The 20,353-nt window shown below is 42.6% G+C and overlaps 1 protein-coding gene across 9 annotated transcripts in view, besides 2 other annotated features; it reads left to right on the top strand.

The window, feature by feature from the left end:
- The window catches only part of CASP7 (caspase 7), a 51,716-nt gene continuing 31,363 nt past the window's right edge, over positions 1-20,353 (top strand). For 3 of the 9 annotated variants that reach the window (NM_001320911.2, NM_001267056.2, NM_033340.4), the window contains exons 1-2: positions 1-156; positions 18,301-18,410. In NM_001320911.2, the coding sequence (NP_001307840.1) occupies positions 18,308-18,410 (103 nt within the window). In that variant the 5' untranslated portion in view covers positions 1-156; positions 18,301-18,307. Of the gene's footprint in view, positions 157-475; positions 1,231-12,770; positions 12,878-18,300; positions 18,411-20,353 lie in introns of those variants that run through there. The other 6 variants (NM_033338.6, NM_033339.5, NM_001267057.1 and 3 more) reach the window with 6 other exon arrangements.
- Positions 1,305-1,594: an enhancer, noted in NCBI's record as "active region_4070". NCBI's record gives its function as "activates an Ori minimal core promoter by ATAC-STARR-seq in GM12878 lymphoblastoid cells {active_cell/tissue: GM12878}" and the evidence as "EXISTENCE:reporter gene assay evidence [ECO:0000049][PMID:35858748]".
- Positions 3,213-3,342: an enhancer, noted in NCBI's record as "active region_4071". NCBI's record gives its function as "activates an Ori minimal core promoter by ATAC-STARR-seq in GM12878 lymphoblastoid cells {active_cell/tissue: GM12878}" and the evidence as "EXISTENCE:reporter gene assay evidence [ECO:0000049][PMID:35858748]".

Genomic DNA, 20,353 nt, shown 5'->3' on the forward strand with positions numbered 1-20,353 from the left:
ATCTCCACCAGCAAGCTGGGCTGCTGGGTGGGTACTTCCTTCAAAGCTGAGGGAGCGTCCTACGCCCACGCGCGCAGGAGGGCGCCCCCCGCAAAGCAACGTCTAGGAGACCACAGTGGATGCCACAGCGGGCCCGAAGCGGATCAGCCTTGTGGGGTACGCATGCTAATGTAGGCGTGGAGTCCCCCAGGGGGACGCCAGCAGTTCCAGCTGGGATCCAGGTTTCGCTAGGGGAGAGCCTCTGGCTATGGGAAAGGGGTCTCCGAGTTGATGTGAAGGCCCAGGTCGAGGTGTACACTGGGGGCGGGGAAGTGGAGGTGACCACACGAGCGCCCCATCACTGAGCGCCGCCGCGAAATCTGCGCTCTTTGGGTCACTTGGAGCGCGGCCAGTTTGGCAGATTTGTTTTTTTCCCGGAACAACCCGCGGCGGCTCGGCTGTCCCGGGAAACTGCAAACTTTGCTGTGCGCGTTCTCCCGCGCGCGGGCTCAACTTTGTAGAGCGAGGGGCCAACTTGGCAGAGCGCGCGGCCAGCTTTGCAGAGAGCGCCCTCCAGGGACTATGCGTGCGGGGACACGGGTCGCTTTGGGCTCTTCCACCCCTGCGGAGCGCACTACCCCGAGCCAGGGGCGGTGCAAGCCCCGCCCGGCCCTACCCAGGGCGGCTCCTCCCTCCGCAGCGCCGAGACTTTTAGTTTCGCTTTCGCTAAAGGGGCCCCAGACCCTTGCTGCGGAGCGACGGAGAGAGACTGTGCCAGTCCCAGCCGCCCTACCGCCGTGGGAACGGTAACTGCAGCCCCCACCTCGGCCGGCGCCTCTCCAGCCCGCCGGCCGTGCGCGCCTTGCCTCCCTCCTTCCTGCCGGCTTCCTAGTTCCCCCCTGCGCCCCCAGCGTGGTCTAGGGGAGCCTGGTTGAGTGGGACTGAGTGGCCCCGACGGCCTGCGCTGAAACTTTGGGAAGAGGGCCCGTTCCGCTCTCTCCATCGCTTGCCTTGCTCAGCTTGTCCTCCCTTCCCTCCTAGCCGGGGGGCTAGGGGACACCTCGTACTATTCGAGATTTAGGAGAGGAGGGCTCGTGATCTGGCACAGCGGCTAACAGCGAGGGCTCCTTTGCCTGCGTTCCGGTCCCCACCCCTTGCCTGCCGGCGGTGGGACCTCAACCCTCTCTCTGTTAAATGGGAACCACGGTGATCCCCGCAGACTGTTGGCGGGGATGGACAGAGTTGATTATGGTACGCGTTTCGCGGCAGTGGCTCTGTCAAGTCTGAGTACACTGGAGCTGAGCGTCCTTGCTGCAGGGCTCTTAGAGGGACCTTGAGGAGGTGGAAACCAGGCAGGAGACATTTAGACGTGTGGAGTGTTAGGCTCCAGGTGACAGCTTTGCGGTTTATGGAGCAGTAAAATTACTTGTGGGTGATTGTGGGTGTATCATTTCCAGATCTTTATTCTTGAACTTCTGGGCTCCTGGGCTAGTTGACGTGGCCCTCCCTGTTGTCTCAACTTACAGGCTATTTCCTCCTTTTGGGTCTCGCCGGCCTGACCTTCACCCTTGGTACCGCCATTGCCTAGATTCACAGTCCACCTTCTGCCACCTGTAAACTGTGTGGCTTTGGACAGGTTACTTAACGTCTCTGAAGAAGCTAAAGTTTCTGCAATAGCAAAGTAAAGGCCCTGGTCTAGCAGTGCCATGAGCCTTGGGTGACGCAGCGGAGCGCTTGAGTGCCCAGCAGAGCCTCCCTTTCCCCCTCCCAGCTGCTAGAGGCAAGAGGGGGAGGTTTTCAGGTCTTCTCTGTGTGCCCTTTAGGAAGATTTTTATTTGGGCAAGAAGTGAGTCACAAATTGTATGATGTCACTTTTCAGGGGAAGCAGCTGCAGTCCATTTCCCCCTTCATGAAAGTAAAAAGTTCAGACAATAGCTGGGCAGTGACTTCTTACCCAGCTGTGTACCAGTTGCCCCAACATGTGGGCTCCTGTTCAACATGTTTAGAAATAATCACTACAGGAACTTTTTTTCAGTCTCTACAAAATCTTTTTAAAATATGGATGTGGTTTTTAAATATCGGCAAAGGTTGACAGTTGCATATTATCTTAGTCTCGTGGGCAGTGGTGATAATGGGAATATTTCTTGACTATTTAGATTGTGCCACCTAGCATTTTACATGCATTGTTTCATTCATCCTCCCAACCACCTGTGACATAGGTACTGTTGTTTTCCCATTTTACAGATGAGGAAACTGAGGCTTAGAGAGGTCGAGCACTTTTTCTGAGGTCCCATGGCTAATATGTGGAAGAACTGATTCAGCCCCAGATCTCAGGGTTCTCAACCACCCTCTTGGGTCTCCTTGGTTCTGCTGTTTGGACAGCAGTTTATTGAAGGGGCTGAAGGATTTGAAAATACATTTAAGTTAGATTTATAAAGAAAAATGGATTTGGTGCCTGCCATGTACCTGACATTTTTCTATGATTAAAAAAATGATTAAGATGAGGTCTCAGTCTGCAAACAGTGACAATCTTGGTGGCTAATAGTAAGAATAAGAGTTACAGTGACTAACCAAGACTTACTATGTGCCTATCATTGTTAGTGCTTTGAGTGTCTCATGTATTAATTTATTTAAAGAGAAGTTAGACATATTTAACAGTGGGATAAGCAATCTCCCTCAAATGACTGCTCTTTGCAGCCTGGACCTTAAAAAGGGGACAGATATGAGAAAATAATGCCATGTGTACCCTCTACGGACAGCTTGGCAGAACTGAGATAGGTCTGGATTTTCTTGGTGCACTGTGATGATGAAAGGAGGAAATAAGAGGTCAAAACCAGGTCTTGGTTTGACTGAAATGACGTGTCTGAGATCAGGCATTCCCCACTTGGTTACCACCCTGGGCTATGATCGCTCTTTGGAGGTTCCAAAAATCAAGCCCAGTCTCATAGGAATAAGAAAGTAACTAATTGTTTAGCTTTACAGATTTGAAAGAGCCAAGTCCCACCACTGCTGACTTGGATTGTTAGAAGAGACACTTTCTGTCACTGCAGACAGTGTTCAGCATCAACCCAGAAGGATGCGGTAGGTTTCAGACAGAAGACCTAATGGCCTACTGTTTGGAGGGAAAGTTCTAGAAAGCGTCCCATCATTGAGCCACAGAAATCAGCCTGAATTTTACATCTCAGTAGCTAAGTCCAAAGCCCTCTCTTAGTGTCTGAGAAGGATGAGTTTAAGCTATACCCATCCTTTGGTGGAACATTTCAAATGTTTAATGAGTGCACAGTTCTCTCTGCCTGCATCGCTCCCACCTACCCTCTCTGCTTCCCCCTTTTCAGTTCTCAGGTCAGACATTTCCTCCCCTGAGGAGTTTCCCTAATTTCTGTGAGGCTCTTGAGTTTCCCTGGTATGGCTACAGATTGTTCACCCTCAAGGCATACACCACAGTTGCATTTCAAACTAGACGCCATCCTTTTTTTCATGTCTGTTTCTCAACATGGCAGGACCAGGTCAATTTGCTCACAAGTATATCCCTAATTCCTAACTTCTAGTAAATATCCATTGAATGAATGAAGAAGAGTCTCCAAAAGTCTCAGCAGTCCCAATAATATCAAAACAAAGGCTTGGCTTTCTTAGGAGCCATTTTGCTTAGGGTCTTCCCCTTTTTCAAAACCACTTTATTAAGGTATAGTTGAAATATAAAAAGCTAGGCATAGTTAATGCATGCATACCTACCAAGTTTGGAGATAAGCATAGATACACCCATGAAATCATCACCACCTCAACAAAGCTACCACCTCCTAAAGTTTCCTCCCACACCGTTTAATGCTATTATTACTATTATTTTTATTACTACTATTTTTTGAGGTGGAGTCTCAATGTGTCACCAGGCTGGAGTGCAGTGGCGCAATCTCGGCTAACTGCAACTTCTGCCTCCCGGGTTCAAGCGATTCCCCTGCCTCAGCCTCCCAAATAGCTGCGACTACAGGCATGCACCACCATGCCCAGCTAATTTTTGTATTTTTAGTAGAGACGGGGTTTCACCATGTTGGCCAGGATAGTCTCAATCTCTTGACCTTGTGATCCGCCTGCCTCAGCCTCCCAAAGTGCTGGGATCACAGGTGTGAGCCACCATGCCTGGCCAAAACTAGTATTTTTTGTGTGGTAAGAACATTCACCATAAGATCTACCCTTTTAGCAAATTGTAAGTATACCATATAGTATTGTTAGCTATGGGCACTATGCTATATAGGAGATCTCTAGAATTTATTCATCTTGCACAACTGAAACTGTGTACCCTTTGACTATCACTTCCCCATTTCTTCCTCGCTGCCCCCACCCCCAACCTCTGACAACCTCCATTCTATTCTCCACTTGTATGAGTTTGACTCTGTTAGATTCCACATAGATGTGAGATCATACAGTAATTGTCTTTCTGTGTCTGGCTTATCTCACTTAGCGTAATGTTCCTTAGGTCCATCCATCTTGTCACAGATGGCAGGATTTCCTTCTTTTTTTATGGCAGAATAATATTCCATTGTGTGTGTATACCACATATTCTTTATCTATTCATTCATTGATGGACATTTAGATTGTTTCCATAATGTTACAGTGAATGTGGGAGTGCAGGTATCTTTTTGAGATCCTGATTTCAGTTTCTCTAGATATATAGCCAGAAGTGAGATTATTGGATCATATGCGATTTCTAGTTTCAATTTTTTGAGAAACCTCTAGACAGTTTTCCATAATGGCTGTACCAATTTATATTCCCACCAACAGTATAGAAGAGTTCCCTTGTTTTCACATCCTTGCTAACACTTACCTTTATACACACACACATATATACATACACATACACATTATATATGCATATGTGTATGTGTATACACACACACACACACACATATAAAATAGCTATCCTAACAGTTGCGAGATGATATCTTATTGTGGTTTTGCTTTGCATTTCCCTGATGATTAGGAACATTGAGCACCTTTTCATATACCTGTTGCCCATTTGTATGTCTTTAGAGAAATGTCTATTCGGGTTCTTTGCCCATTTTTTTAATTAGATTTTTTTTTTTTTTTTTTTTTTTTGCTATTCTGTTGTGTGAGTTCCTTGTGTATTTTGGATATTAACCCCTTTTCAGATATATGGTTTGTAAATATTTTCTCCCATTCCATAGGTTGCTTTTTCGTTTTTTGTATTGTTTCCTTGCTATGCAGAGCTTTTTAGTTTGGTGTAATCCCACTTGTTTATTTTTGCCTTTGTTGCCTGTGCATTAGCATCATATGCAAAAACTCATTGTCAAGACCAATGTCAAAGAGCTTTCTCCCTATGTTTTCTTCTAGCAGTTTTAAGGTCTCAGGTCTTATGTTGAAGTCTTTAATCCATTTTGAGTTGATTTTTTTGTATGGTGTGAAATAAGAGTCTAGTTTTATTCTTTTGCATGTGGATATCCAATTTTCCCAACACCATTTCTTGAAGAGACTATCCTTTCCATATTGAATATTTTTGGCACCCTTGTCAAAAATTAGTTGACTGTAATGTGTGGGTTTATTTCCAGACTCTCTATTCTGTTCCGTTGCTCCATGTGTCTGCTTTATGCCAGTATCATACGGTTTTGATTACTATAGCTTTGTAATATAATTTGAAGTGAGGAAATGTGATGCCTCTAGCTTTGCTCTTGCTCAAGTTTGCTTTGGCTATTTAGGGTCTTTCGTAGCTACATATGAATTTTATAATTTTTTTATATGTCTGTGAAAATGCCATTGGAATTTAGATAGGGATTGCATTGAATCTGTTCAGTGATCAATTTGAGCAGCATGGACATTTTAACATATTAATTCTTCCAATCTATGAACATGGAATATCTTTCCATTTATTTATGTCTAATTTCTTTCATCAGTGTTTTGTAGTTTTGTTGTTCTGGCTCAAAGAAGAGCAGTGTGTTGCTTAATTTCCACATATTTGTGAATTCTCTAATTTCTCTCCTGTTACTGATTTCTACTTTCATACCATTTGTGGTCAGAAAAGATACATGATATGACTTTAATCCTCCTAAATTAATTAAGACTTGTTTTGTAGCCTAGCATATGATCCATCTTGGAGAATGTTGTGTACACTTGAGAAGAATGTGTATTTTGCTGCTGTTGGATGAAATGTTGTATATATGTCTGTTAGGTCCATTTGGACTAGTGTTGTTCAAATCCACTGTTTCCTAATTGATTTTCCATTTGGATGAAATATCCATAGTTGCAAGTGAGGTTTTGAAGTCCCTTACTCTTATCTATTGCTATTTCTTTCTGTAGTTCTATTAATACTTGTTTTATATATTTAGGTGTGCTAATGTTGATGCATATATATTTACAGTTGTTATGTCTTTGGTAAATTGATATCTATAGTTATAATATAATGACCTTCTTTATCTCGAAAGTTTTTTACTTTAGTCTATTTTGTCTGATATAAGTATAGCCCCCCCTGCTCTCTTTTGGTTACCATTCATATGGATTATCTTTTTATATCCCTTCACTTTTAGCCTATGTGTGTCCTTAAATCTAAAGTGAGTCTCTTGTAAATATCATGTAGTTGGATCTTATGTTTTTACTCTATTTAGTCACTGTATGTATTTTGATTGGATAACTTAATCCATTTACATTTAAAGAAATTATTGATAGGTAAAGGGCTCACTGTTGCCATTTTGTGATTGTTTTCTGACTGTTTTATAGTTCATCTGTTTCTCTCTTCCTCTCTTGCTTCCCTCCCATGTGATTTGATCATTTTTTGTAGTGATATGCTTTGTTTCTTTTCTGTATATATTTTGCATATCTACTACAGATTTTTGCTTTGTTATTACCATGAGGCTTACACAAAACATCTTATAACGTTCTATTCTAAGTTGATAACAACTTAGTCCATTTGGGATGCTATTACAAAATACCCTAAACTGGGTAGCTTATAAACAACAGAAATATATTTCTTGTAGTTCTGGAGGCTGGCATGTTGAAGATCAAAGTGCTAACAGCATCAGTGTATAGCGAAGTTTCATTTCCTTGTTCATTTATTATATCTTATCACATGGTAGATAGGGCAGGGCAGCTCTCTTTATATAAAAGTGCTAATCCCATTTATGGAGCTTTACCCTTTTGACCTAATCATACCCCAAATGCCCCACCTCCTAATACTATGACATTGGTGAATAGATTTCAATGTGTAAATTTTGGGGGGTACGTAAACATTCAGACCATAGCAACAACTTAACTTCACGCACATTCAAAAATTCTGCAGTTTTATTCTCTCCTTCCATGTTTTATGTTATTGATGTCACAGTTTACATTTCTTTATATTGTATATCTATTAACAACTATATAGCTATGGTTATTGAAGCTAGAGTTGTTTTTAATACTTTAGTCTTTTAACTTTAGTAGAGTTCAAAGTGATTTATGCACAGCTAATACAGATGCTCCTCAACCTATGATGGGTTTACATCCCTATAAACCCAATGTAAGTTGAAAATATCATAAGCTAAAAATGCCTTTAATGCAACTAATCTATTGAATTTCAGAGCTTAGCCTAGCCTGTCTTAAACATGCTTATATCACATTAGCCTACAGCTGGGCATGAGAATCTAATACAAAGCTTATTTAATAATAAAGTGTTGAATATCTCATATAATTTATCAATACTGTACTAAAAGTAAAAACAGGATGGGTGTATGGTTACTTGAAGTATGGTTTCTACATGATGTGTTTTGCTTTTGCAGCATTGGAAAGACAAAAGATCTTAAGTAAAACCATTGTAAGTCAAAGACCACCTGTAAATTATTCACATATTCTGGATTTGACTATACACTTACTTTTACCAGTGAGTTTAAAGAATGTCCTTTCATTTCAACCTGAAGTATTCCTTTTAGCATTTCTTGTAAGGCAGGTCTAGTAGTGATGAACACTGTCATTTTCATGTGTCTCAGAAAAGTATTTATCTTTTCTTCTGAAGGACAGCTTTGCTGGATATAATATTTGTGGTTGGCAGTTTCTTTCTTTTAGCACTTTGATTATATTATCCCACTCTTTCCAGGCCTGCAAGGTTTCTGGTGAGAAATCCACCAGATGGTCTTATGGACATTTCTTTGTATGTAATGAGGTGCTTTTCCGTGTGTGTGTGTGCATGTGTGTGTGTGTATGTACATGTATACATGTACGTACATATATATGTATGTACATGTATACATGTACGTACATATATATGTACGTACATATATACATGTACATACACACACGTATATATCAATAGCTTTTGGAGTACAAGTAGATTTTGGTTACATGGATTAATTGTGTAGTGGTGAAGTCTGAGATTTTAGTGCACCTGTAACCCAAGTAGTGTACATTGCACCCAATATGTAGTTTTTAAAAATCCCACATCCTCCTCCCACTCTCCCCTCTTCTGAGTCTCCAGTATCCATTATACCAATCTGAATGCCTTTGAATGCTCATAGCTTAGCTTCCACTTACAAGTGAAAACATAGATATTTGGTTTTCCATTCCTGACTTACTTCACTTAGAATAATGGCCTCCAGCTCCATCCAAGTTACTACAAAGACATTATTGTAATGTCTCCATCTTCATTTCTCTTTCTTTCTTTCTTTCTTTCTTTCTTTCTTTCTTTCTTTCCTTTCTTTCTTTTCTTTCTTTCTTTCTTTCTTTCTTTCTTTCTTTCTTTCTTTCCTTTCTTTCTTTCTTTCCTTCCTTCTTTCCTTCCTTCCTTCCTTCCTTCCTTCCTTCCTTCCTTCCTTCCTTCCTTTCTTTCTTTCTTTTCTTTCTTTTTGAGACAGAGTCCCGCTCTGTCACCCAGGCTGGAGTGCAGTGGCGCGATCTTGGCTCACTGCAACCTCCACCTCCCGGGTTCAAGCGATTCTCCTGCCTCAGCCTCCTGAGCTGGGACTACAGCCGTGTGCCACCATGCCTAGCTAATTTTTGTATTTTTAGTAGAGACAGGGTTTCACCATGTTGGCCAGGATGGTCTCAATCTCTTGACCTATGATCCACCCGCCTCAGCCTCCCAAAGTGCTGGGATTACGGGTGTGAGCCACTGTGCCTGGCCCTCCATCTTCATTTCTGATTTAGCTTATTTGAATGTTCTCTCTTCTTTTATTGGTAAATCTAGCTAATGGTCCCCTGAGTTTATCTTTTCAAGGAAGCAACTTTTTGTTTCATTGATCTTTTGCATTTTTTGTTTCAATTTCATTTATTCTGCCTTGATCTTTGTTATTTTCTTCTGCTAGCTTTGGGTTTGGTTTGTTCTTGCTTCTCTAGTTCCAGGAGGTGTGACTTTAGGTTGTCAATTTGTCATCTTTCAGACTTTTTGATGTAGATATTTAGCACCACAAACTTTCCTCTTAGCACTGCTTCTGTTGTATCCCAGAGGTTTTGATAATGTGTGTCACTGTTATCATTCGTTTTGAAGAATTTTCAAATTTCTATCTTGATTTCATTGTTAACCCAAAAATCAGTCAGGAGCAGACTGTTTAATTTCCTTGTTTTTATATAGTTTTGAGGGTTTCTTTTGGAGTCGATTTCTAGTTTGATTCTGGTGTAGTCTGAGAAGATACTTGATATGATTTTCATTTTTAAAAATTAATTGAGACTTATTTTGTGGCCTATCACATGGTCTGTCTTAGAGAATGTTCCATATGCTGATGAGAAGAATGTATATTCTGCAGTTCTTGGGTAGAATGTTCTATAATTATCCGTTAGGTCCATTTGTTCTGGAGTGTAGTTTAAATTCAGTGTTTCTGTGTTGACTTTCTGCCTCAGTGATCTGTCTAGTGCTGTCAGTGGAGTATTGAAGTTCTCCAATATCATTATGTTGCTGTCTATCTCTTGTCTTAGGTCTAGTGGTAATTGTTTTATGAATCTAGGAGCTTCAGAGTTATGTGCATATATATTTAGGGTTATAATATCTTCCTGTTGGGTCAATCCTTTTATCATACTTTCTTTGTCTTTTTGTTTGTAAACTGTTTTTCTTTAAAGTTTGTTTTATCTGATATAAGAGTAGCAACTTCTGCTTGCTTTCGGTTTCTATTTGTGTGGAGTATCTTTTTCCACCCCTTTACCTTGATTCTATAAGAATCCTTTGTATTAATTAGCTCAGCTTCTTGAAGACAGCAGACATTTGGTTTGTGATTTTTTTTTTAATCCATTCTGCCAATCTGTATCTTTTAAGTGGAGCATTAGGCCATGTACATTCAACATTAATATTGAGGTGTGACCCAATCATCATGTTGATTGTTACCTGGATACTTTGTTTTTTTTATTGTGTTATTGTTTTATAAGCCCTGTGAGTTTTGTGTTTTTGAGAGGTTCTATTCTGTTGCATATTGACCTTTTATTTCAGCGTTTAGAATTCCTTTTAGCATTTCTTGTCGGGCTGATCTGGTAGTGGCAAATTCCTTCAGCATGTGCTTGTCTGAGAAAGACTATATCCCCTTCATTTATGAAACTTAGTTTTGCTGTATACAACGTTTTTGGCTGAGAGTTATTCTGTTTAAGGAGGCTAAAAATAGGGCCCCAATCCTTTCTGGCTTATAAGGTTTCTGCTGAGAAGTCTACTGTTAGTCTGATAGCTTTTCCTTTGCAGGTTATCTGATACTTCTGTCTTACTGCTCTTAGAATTCTTTCCTTCATGTTGACATTAGTAATAGCCTGTTGACTGTATGCCTTGGAGATGTCCATTTTGCCATGAATCTCCCCGAAGGGCTTTGACCTTCTTGTATTTGGATGTCTAAATCTCTGGCAAGGCTAGGGAAGTCTTCCTCAATTATTCCCTCAAATAAATTTTCCAAAATTTTTACTTTTTCTTCTCCCTCAGGAACACCAGTGATTCTTAGCTTTGGCCATTTTACATAATCTCATATTTCTTAGAGACTTTGTTCATTTCTTTTAGTTATTTTTTCTTTATTTTTGTCTGACTGGGTTTATTCAAAAGCCTTGTCTTCGAGCTCTGAAATTCTTTATTCTACTTGGTCTAGTCTGTTGTTAAAACTTTCCACTTGTTTTGTAACTCCCTAAATGTGTCTTTCATTTCTAGAAGTTCTGATTGTTTTTTTTTCCTCTAAAGTATCTATCTCTTTAGAAAAATTTTCATTCATATCCTGAATTTTTAAAAAACTTTCTTTATATTGGTTTTCACCTTTTTCTTGTATCTCCTTGGGTAACTTAATAATCAACCATTTGGATTCTTTATTTGGTATTTCCAAGATTTCATCTTAGTTTGGATCCATTGCTGGAAAGCTAATGTGATCTTTTGGGGGTGTTATAGAACCCTGTTTTGTCATATTGCCAGAATTATTTTTCTGGTTCCTTCTCATTTGGATAGACTGTTTCTTCTAATTATTTTTGAATTTATTTTTGATTCAACCGTTTCTTTCTAATTTCCTTTTTTCCACCTTATGGATGTGACTTCAATGATTATAGCTTATTGTAACCTAATTTGGCTCTGGGTGCTTTTGGCGGTGAAGACTCTGTATAAGTTCCTTGGTTATAGAGAGTCTTTGTATGATGGTTTTCTCAGATGTAGTAGCAATGTGCTTCGTGTGTGAGCAGGTTGACTGTCTCTTGTGGGGTTGGAATGGCAAAAGTCTCTGAAGCTCATCCCCAGTGGTGTGCACTTATTTATTTATTCATTTGTTCATTCATTCATTCATTCATTCCTCCAGTATTACTGGGTTGAACAGTTCAGGCTTCAAGTCAGTATGGGAGTTGTCCCTGGGTAAAAACTGGGTGTGCCTAAAACAGGTAGATAAATACAATACCTAATGGAGGGCAGAGGTCCCAGCCTTGACGTAGGCGGCTGGAGAAGCTGTCATTGAAAAACACTGAGGTCTTTTCAGGGGGAAGGAAGGGGCTACCCCAGCTCCCATCCCAGGCCAGCAGGAGAAAAAACTGCCTCCCATTCACACTCCTGACCCAGTGTTCTGTCCATTCAAACCAGGCAGACACCACTTTCCAGCTGCAGAAATACTGATGTTCCATGTAGAGAGGGATTATAATTACCCCTCATGCAAGCCTGAACCTTGAGGGCACTTGTCCTATGAGGATGCAGTCACCCTGAAGTGTTCTAGAAAGGCTGTCTACAGATGCACCCATGCCACGCTCTTGTGGGAGAAGCCCAAGCTGTAGCTGCAGTGGTGGGTGAGGAGGAAAAGTCTCCTTCTCCAAGACCTGTCACAAGCACCAGGGATGCCTGACTGTTGTAGTAGAGCCACAGACTTTCCCTTCTGAGTTCAGCATTGCACCTGTGCCTCTGCTGAAAAAAACTTCCCACAAGCAGAAAGCTATGGGACTCAAGCTTTGCCATCTGGATTCTTTTGTCCCATGGGTTACTCCTTTGATGTGGTGCACTCCCCCTTCCCCTAGGAGTAGGAGCCCTGAGGGCCAGACTGTTGTGAATGCTGCTGCTTCTCTGGGTCTAGCCACCCAGTGGGGCTGCCACACTCCAGGAAAGTGCCGGGGAATGTCTGCAGGGGGTCCAGTGATGCGACCTGCCCTCAAATTTCCAGCAGTAGGTACCAGCATCTGTTCTGATGGGGGTGGCAGGGAAGTGACATAGACTCTGTGAGATTCCTTATAAATAGCCTTAGTGTGTTGGCTTTCTCACACACTAGCTATAGTAGGAATGAACTGGTCATGTGGACAGACTCAGGACCTACTGATTAGCTGGGGGTAATGCAGGCAGTGGTGACAGATGGGGTCATGCGTAAGTTTTCTCCTTCCTGGGTGCTATGTTATTCTGCCAGCAGATGCTGTAATGGACTGTGTTGGTTGGCCTCCAGGCAGGAAGTGGCACTTGGAAAAGAACACCAGCTGCGGTGGTAGCAGTGGGATTTGTGCTTCTTATGTTACCCAGGTGAGGTACTCTGGTGTCTCAGACAATGCGTGAGGCCATAGAGCTTCCCAAAGTTTCTGTCCTTTGTGTTAAGCTATGGAGTAGGGGGTAAAGGGGCAAAGCCAGGTGGGGGCTGGGTCACGTAAGTACATGCTATGGCTCTCCATGTGTGGGCTCAAGCAGAGGCCCCAGTGGGGATAAGAGGGCAGTCCTCTTGCCGCAGGGGTAATGTTCCAGGGAGGAGTGCAACTGCCTGTGCTGCACAGAAAGTCCACACAGGGAGTGGGGAGTAGCAGGTGACAGTAAGCTCTGCCCAGTTCCCATGCACTTGGCAAGGTAGGTCTCACACCGGTAGTGTTCCACTAGTAGCAGCTAGCTAGGTTCCAGGCATTCTGCTCTCAGAACTCAAAACTGCCCCAGGCCATAAGCCTTCCCAGTTGAGACATACCATGGCTTTCAGGCCACGCCCCTTCTGGTCTGCCTGAGAAACAAAGGTACCCAGCTCTTGTGCTCGTGAGTATAACCCACTGCCCACTCACCCCTCGGTTCTGGCCAAGGGGGTTCATCGTCACTCGAGATTATATCACAAATGTCAATTGGGAACCTCTCTCAACCTATGACAGACTACTGAGTTTGCTGGAAGATGTCCACAAGGTCACCTGTGAGGTAGGACCTGGAATGACTTCCTTCTATCCCTGCTGGAGACCGAGAGCACATGCAATGCACATCCCAATGCTATTCCTTCTCATGTATTCCCCAGTGCTCACTAAATCAGCTTCAGTGCTGGGTAGGGTTAAGACCTTTCCCTGTGGCCTGGATTGCCAAGTTCTCCAGTGGGAATGTATGTCCCAGAGACAGTTTATCCCCCTCACACTCCAGGGACTTAGAATTTTCTACCTGGTTCACAGTATAGGCTGCAGCCCACCACTTCTTTCAAAGGCTCTGTGGTTTCTTTCAGTTTTCCTATTAAGTTCCTGTGTTGCTTCTTGGAAAAAAGTACACAGCATGAATCTCTACACACTATTTTATCTTCCCAAGTGAGAGAGGCATGCTAACAATGCCTCCAATCTGCCATCTTGGAAAAAAATCAGTTGCTTTTCTTTTGCTGCTTTCAAGATTTTCTCCTTATCTGTTTTGACTCTTACCAGTGATTGTAATGTGTCTCAGTGAAGACCTATTTATGCCCAATCTGTTTGGGGTTCTTTGGGCTTCATGAATCTAGATGTTCCTTTCCCTCTCCAGATTTGGGAAGTTTTCTGTCATAATTTCTTTAAATAAACTTTCTACCCTTTTCTCTTTGCTCCTTCTGAGACACCGATACTGCATATATTGGTTCACTTGATGGTGTCCAATAAATTGCATAGGTTTCTTCACTCTTTTTCATTCCTTTTTCTTTTTGTTCCTCTGACTGATTAATTTCAAATGATCTGTTTTCAAGTTCACTGACTCTTTCTTCTGATTGATCAAGTCTACTGTTGAAACTCTCAATTGAATTTTTTATTTCAGACATTGTATTCTTCAGCTCCATAATTTCTGTTTCGTTCATTTATTGGTTTTTATTTCTTTGTTGAACTTCTCATTTTGTTTATTTGTTGTTTTTCTGATTTCATTTATTTGTCTGTCTGCTCTCTTGTTCCTCACTGGGCTTTTTTAAGATGATTATTTTGGATTCTTTGTCAGGTAATTCATAGATCTCCATTTCTTTGGGATCAGCCACTGGAGCTTTATTTTGTTCCTTTGGTGGTGTCATATTTCCTTGATTATTTGTGTTCTTTGAAGCCTCGCATTGTGTGTTCACACTTGAAGAAGCAGTCACCTCTTCCCGTCTTTATTGACTGGCTTTAGGAGAGAAAGACCTTTGCCAGTGAGCTTAGCTAGAGATTCTGGGGATCTCTCACACTTTTTCTCTAGATATACCTGCTCCACACCTCTTGTTCCCTCTTTGGGATTATATGTGTTCTCTCAGTCCTGCAAAGGCAGACCTTGTGCTAAAAGCCTCCTGCTTATTCCTTAGGGTAGTACCCTGAAATGTTCAAAGTTATATGTCTTCTCTCAATCCATCAAAGTTGAGCTGGCTGCTAATATCCCTACCTGCTGTTGAGATCCAAGCATTGTCTGTGGTTGTGTACAGACTGTTGTGCACTGAGGTACATATCAGCTGGTTGAAGGGGTACATAGGCAAGTTGTCCTGCAGGGTTTATGGGAGGGACTTAGGGTAGCATCCATGAGCTGGGTAGCAGAATCTATAGCCGGCTTTTGATAACCATACACTATTTGCACTCCTGCTGCTGCTTCTCCTTGCTCCTGGCTGCCCCAGACGATTCAGCCGTACTATTCCCCTCAGTGTTCTGGGTGGGATGAAACAGAAGTGGGTCTCCTAGACAACATCCTTTTGGGCTGGGAAAGCTGGGTGCTCACTTCACTCTCACTTCCCCCATGGGAGAATTGTGAGCTGGAGGGACCTCTCTTGGAACTGAGCTGTGCCACCTTAGGGGAGGGGTGATGTGGGTAAAGTGAGCTGCTCTTATTATACTCTTTGATGCATCCACTCTTCGATTTTTTGCTCCACCAGTGTGCTGAAACCTCTCAGTGGACTCCTGTGGCCTCACAAAAGTATTCTTGTCCATAGGTGTAGTTGCCAAAATCAGTATTTCTATATAAGAATGAAAACTGGAACCTCCTATTCCGCTATCACACTGACATTTCTTCTTTCTTTTAAAAATAGTGGTTATATTGTGTTGTCATCATATACCCTAGATTGAGCCTTTAAGATTAACTTTAGCAAAAGGGCCAACTTGATTAACACCACATATCAAAGTTAGTGTCTTTGTCTGGTGGATTTTTTTAAAACTTTGACTTACTAGTTTTGAAAATATGTGAGTGTGTATTGTGTTAATAACAGTCTATATTGGAAAGTAACTAAGTCTATGTAAAGGAGACAAGAGAGGCTATCAGGTATTTTCTGCATGTGTGGCCTTATGCTTATCTCCTCTGTGAGTTATCTCCATTTTTGAGAAACTTTGGGTTCTAATCTGAAAAATCTGCCTCCCAACCAGAAACACATTGGTGATGATGAAGGGAGGCTCATGATGTGTTGAGAAACAAGGTGACCATCTGACTTCCCATGGTCATTGTAGAGACCTGGCAGTAGGACTTTCCCTTCTTAGCTCCCTCCCCTCTTCCCAGTTCACCCTCAGATAAGCTGGAAGGTGACACCATAATGCCATTCGGAGTGCAAGGCCACTAGGTTGTCACTTTGCCTCCTTGGACACCTCCTTCTGAACTGCATTCCTTCTCCCCACCTCCAAAAGTTATTACTTGTGCTCAGCGGCACAAAATATTCTGTAAAGTAGATGCCTTCTTGTTTTCCAACTTAATGACAGCATCCCTGGGTGAGCCCTAACTGGAATACAGAACTGCACCTGACAACCGCGGCCTGCTCAGTGAAGTTGCTCAGGGATTGTATCAGAGGCATTTGAACCGGAGCAACTCCATATTGAATAGGGGCTGGGTAAAATAAGACTGAGATCTACTGGGCTGCATTCCCAGGAGGTTAAGGCATTCTTAGTCACAGGATGAGGTAGGAGGTTAGCAGAAGGTAGAGGTCATAAAGACCTTGTTGATAAAACAGGTTGCAGTAAAGAAGCCAGCCAAAACCCAGCAAAACCAAGATGGTGACAAGAGTGACCTCTGGTCACCCTCACTGCTCATTATACACTAATTATAAGCCATTAGCATGCTAAAAGACACTCCCCCCAGCACCATGACAGTTTGCAAATGCTATAGCAATGTCTGGAAGCTACGCTATATGGTCTAAAAAGGGGAACTTCCTTAGTTCCTGGAATTTCCCACCCCTTCCTTGGAAAACTTGTGAATAGTCCACCCCTTGTTTTAGCATATAATCAAGAAATAACTATGAGTATCCCTAGTCCAGCAGCCTAAGCTGCTGCTCTGCCTATGGAGTAGCCATTCTTTTATTCCTTTACCTTATTAATAAACTTGCTTTCACTTTACTCTATGGACTCACCCTTAATTCTTTCTTGCGCGAGGTCCAAACCCTCTCTTGGGGTCTGCATCAGGACCCTTTTCTAGTAACAGTTGGGACCAGGTAGAAATTGGAGTCTGAAGTTTCTCTTTATTCCTGAAAGTTGATCCCTGATCCCTTCATGGGGAAGAAAATGGGACTTGATTTAGGAGAAGTGATTCTAATACTGGCCAGGTGCAGTGGCTCACACCTGTAATCCCAGCACTTTGGGAGGCCAGAGTTTGAGACCAGCCTGGCCAACAGCCTGGCCCTGTCTCTACTAAAAATACAAAAAAAAATTAGCCAGATGTGGTGGTGGGCACCTGTAATCCCAGCTACTCGGGAGGCTGAGGCAGGAGAATCACTTGAACCTGGGAGGCGGAGGCTGCAGTGAGCGGAGATCACACCATTGCACTCCAGCCTGGGCAACAAGAGCAAAACTCCATCTCAAAGACAAAAAAAAAAAATGATTCTAATACTGGCTCTGCCTTGGGCCAGCCACATCACCTTTAGCTAATTCTTTCCCCTTAGGGTGTGTGTTTCATCCAGCCTTCCATTCAATTAAATATTTTAGTAAGCACCTTCTGTGTTCCAGCTACCTCTGCCATAATGAACTTATATTGTCTTATAGGAGCCAAACAGCAGAGCGCAAATAAACAAGCCACATACGAAGGCTATGCGGGAAATGAAGGCAGAGGGTGGGGGTGGAAAGGGCCAGGTAGTAAATATTTTTGGCTTTGTGGCCATCACTCAACTCTGCTCGTAGAGAGGAAACAGCCATAGGCAATACATAAATGAATGGACATGGCTGTTTTCTAGTACAACTCTATTTACTGAAACAAGTGTTGGGCCATAGTATGCTGATTCCCAGACTAGATCAGAAAGGGCCTTAAAATCCAAGGAGATGGCTTTAGATTTGTACTTATAGTTAATGGGGATCTCTTGAAAATTCTCAAGCTGGAATGTAATTTGATGGAAATCTATTTTGTGTAGAACCGTGTAAAAGCATCTGACATAGAAAGAGAGCCTAATACCCCAGGTTGTCGCTGCTTTTGAATTGCGTATGAGCACTTTGTGACCTGCTAGGAATTTAGGGGGAAATTTTCATTGTTGTAAACCTTGACAGACCTTCCACTGTTTCTTGTATGCAGTGAACATACAACAAAATTGTGGTTACTGGATTAGAAGCTCCCTGAGGGCAAGGACTTTGTTTTCTTTGTTGCCATATATGTAGTCTCTGGGATGTAAGCATATTCACATATTTGAATGCATTAATGGGGCGGTAACCCTGAAGCTTAAATATGCAAAACTTCTCACCCCTAGGCGTAATGGAAAACTGTATCACCTAATGAGTGTCATTTAAAAATATCACAGTATCAGTGATGCCACTGACCTTGTGGCTTTTTTTCTCTCTTCCCAGATGGCAGATGATCAGGGCTGTATTGAAGAGCAGGGGGTTGAGGATTCAGCAAATGAAGATTCAGTGGATGCTAAGCCAGACCGGTCCTCGTTTGTACCGTCCCTCTTCAGGTAAGTTTGCTTAATCAGGGACCCTGGACCACGTCAGCCTGCCATGCCTCTGCCATCTCCACCCACCCATGGGGAGGGGGACATTCAGGGAAGGAGGTTCATGCTGAGCATGAGGTTTGCACAGGTTCTTGCTAGCTGTACGTAGCAACACTAGTGTCCTCATGTGCACCCTGTTGTCTGTGGGCCAAGCCCAGGAATGGACAAAAGCAACCACTGGGAGTCTCCTGCTCAGCCGCTGAGTGTCTGGTAGCAGTTCCTAAGTATCAGGGGCTGTTCTCATTAGAGGTGATTTGCAGGCACCTTCAGAACAGAGCCTGGGCTGCTGCTGCCAGTGGGACCAAGTTTGACAACACAGAATCCAAGGGCTGAGGGACAGGAGGTTTTAGGGTGACTCACGCCCACCCTGTGTCTCCTGAGGCATTGCACTGATGGAAGGGAGATTGCATCCTGTTCATTAGTTCCTACCTTTCCATTTCTTGAGCTCACTTTTAAAATTCTAAATTTTGCATTTAATAATATAATAGCTTCATTGATTAAACTCTTGTATGCCTGCTTGGTATTATTGCATTTAGTCTACATAATTGCACATTTAGTTTTATTGTTATCACCATTTGTCAGGTAGGGAAACTGAGGTGCTGTGAGGTTGAATAGCTTGCCTTTTTGCTGATAGTTAGTAAATGGTAAAGCTAAGATGAGAAACTAAACAATGCCAGCACCACTCACTTAAAGATTCTGCTGTGTGCTTCCCATTTAAAAGTCGGGCTAGCTTGGTGCAGTGGCTTACACCTGTAATCTCAGCACTGTGAGAGGCCAAGGAGGGAGGATCGCTTGAGCCCAGGAGTTTGGGACCAGACTGGACAACACAGTGAGAGCCCCGTCTCTACAAAAAAAGATAAGAAAATTAGCTGGGTGTGGTGGCGCGTGCTGGTAGTCTGGCTACTCGGGAAGCTGGGGCAGGAGGATCACTTGAGCCCAGGAGATCGAGGCTGCAGTGGGCCATGATTGCACCACTGCACTCCAGCCTGGGCAACAGAGTGAGACTCTGTCTCAAAAAAACAAGTTGTTTTTTTTTTTAATAAAAAATATAAGTAGGGCTGTAAGGACATGGAGGAACCCCAACCCTCCCTTAACCTTGATCATGGATGGACAGTGAGTGGAACTTCTTGAGAGACAGAAGGCAGCAGGAGTCAGACGCATCACACTTCTTTGGATTCCCTAAGCCAAGTCCTACTGGGAAAGATAGAGAGAGGGATAAAGGCCGAGGTTAGGGAGTGCTCCCAGGCAGTATTCAGGAGGGGAAGAGCTGGTGGGGATGGGCAGCCAGGCTCCCAACACCCCAGAGCAGACCTTGGGCCATATCATCCAACATAGGACTTGGAAAAGTGGGAGAACCCCAACACTGTGGACCCAGATTCCGTTGTTTGCCAGATAGAGTCAAGAATATCCAATGAAATGACCAGAAAATACAGTTCTGACTCCTGGAACTTTCCAAAACCATGAGAAATCGGTGCAGGCCAACTTACTCCCCAAGGAAAGCCCCTTAGAGCAATGGTCTTCAAATGCCTTTGCTTATATGTGCTCAAAATAATATAAAGCTGTGTGTATATTTTAAGGTAACATACACATTTTTGTCAAGATAGTTGCAAAAAATGTAATAATATTTCACTCTTCCGAACCCTTTTTGAGTATCTGACTTCAGCAAGTTGTCTACAAGTGAAAGAAACGGGAATCATTTAATAATCATTTTGTAAGTCAGTTTAAGAACAGACTAATACACAGGACTCCAGCTCAGCAAAGCCTTTTGATGTACTTCCCAGAAATTATTAAAATAAATGGTGTGTTGTAAATACTGACATTTCAAAGTCGTTTCTTTAAATGTACCCAGTGGAATCTACATCCATAGTGATTTTATAACCACCTTTATCCATTAAAAGAATACATGA

The sequence above is a fragment of the Homo sapiens genome, chromosome 10 (assembly GCF_000001405.40).
Source record: "Homo sapiens chromosome 10, GRCh38.p14 Primary Assembly".
Classification (NCBI taxonomy): Eukaryota; Metazoa; Chordata; class Mammalia; order Primates; family Hominidae; genus Homo; species Homo sapiens.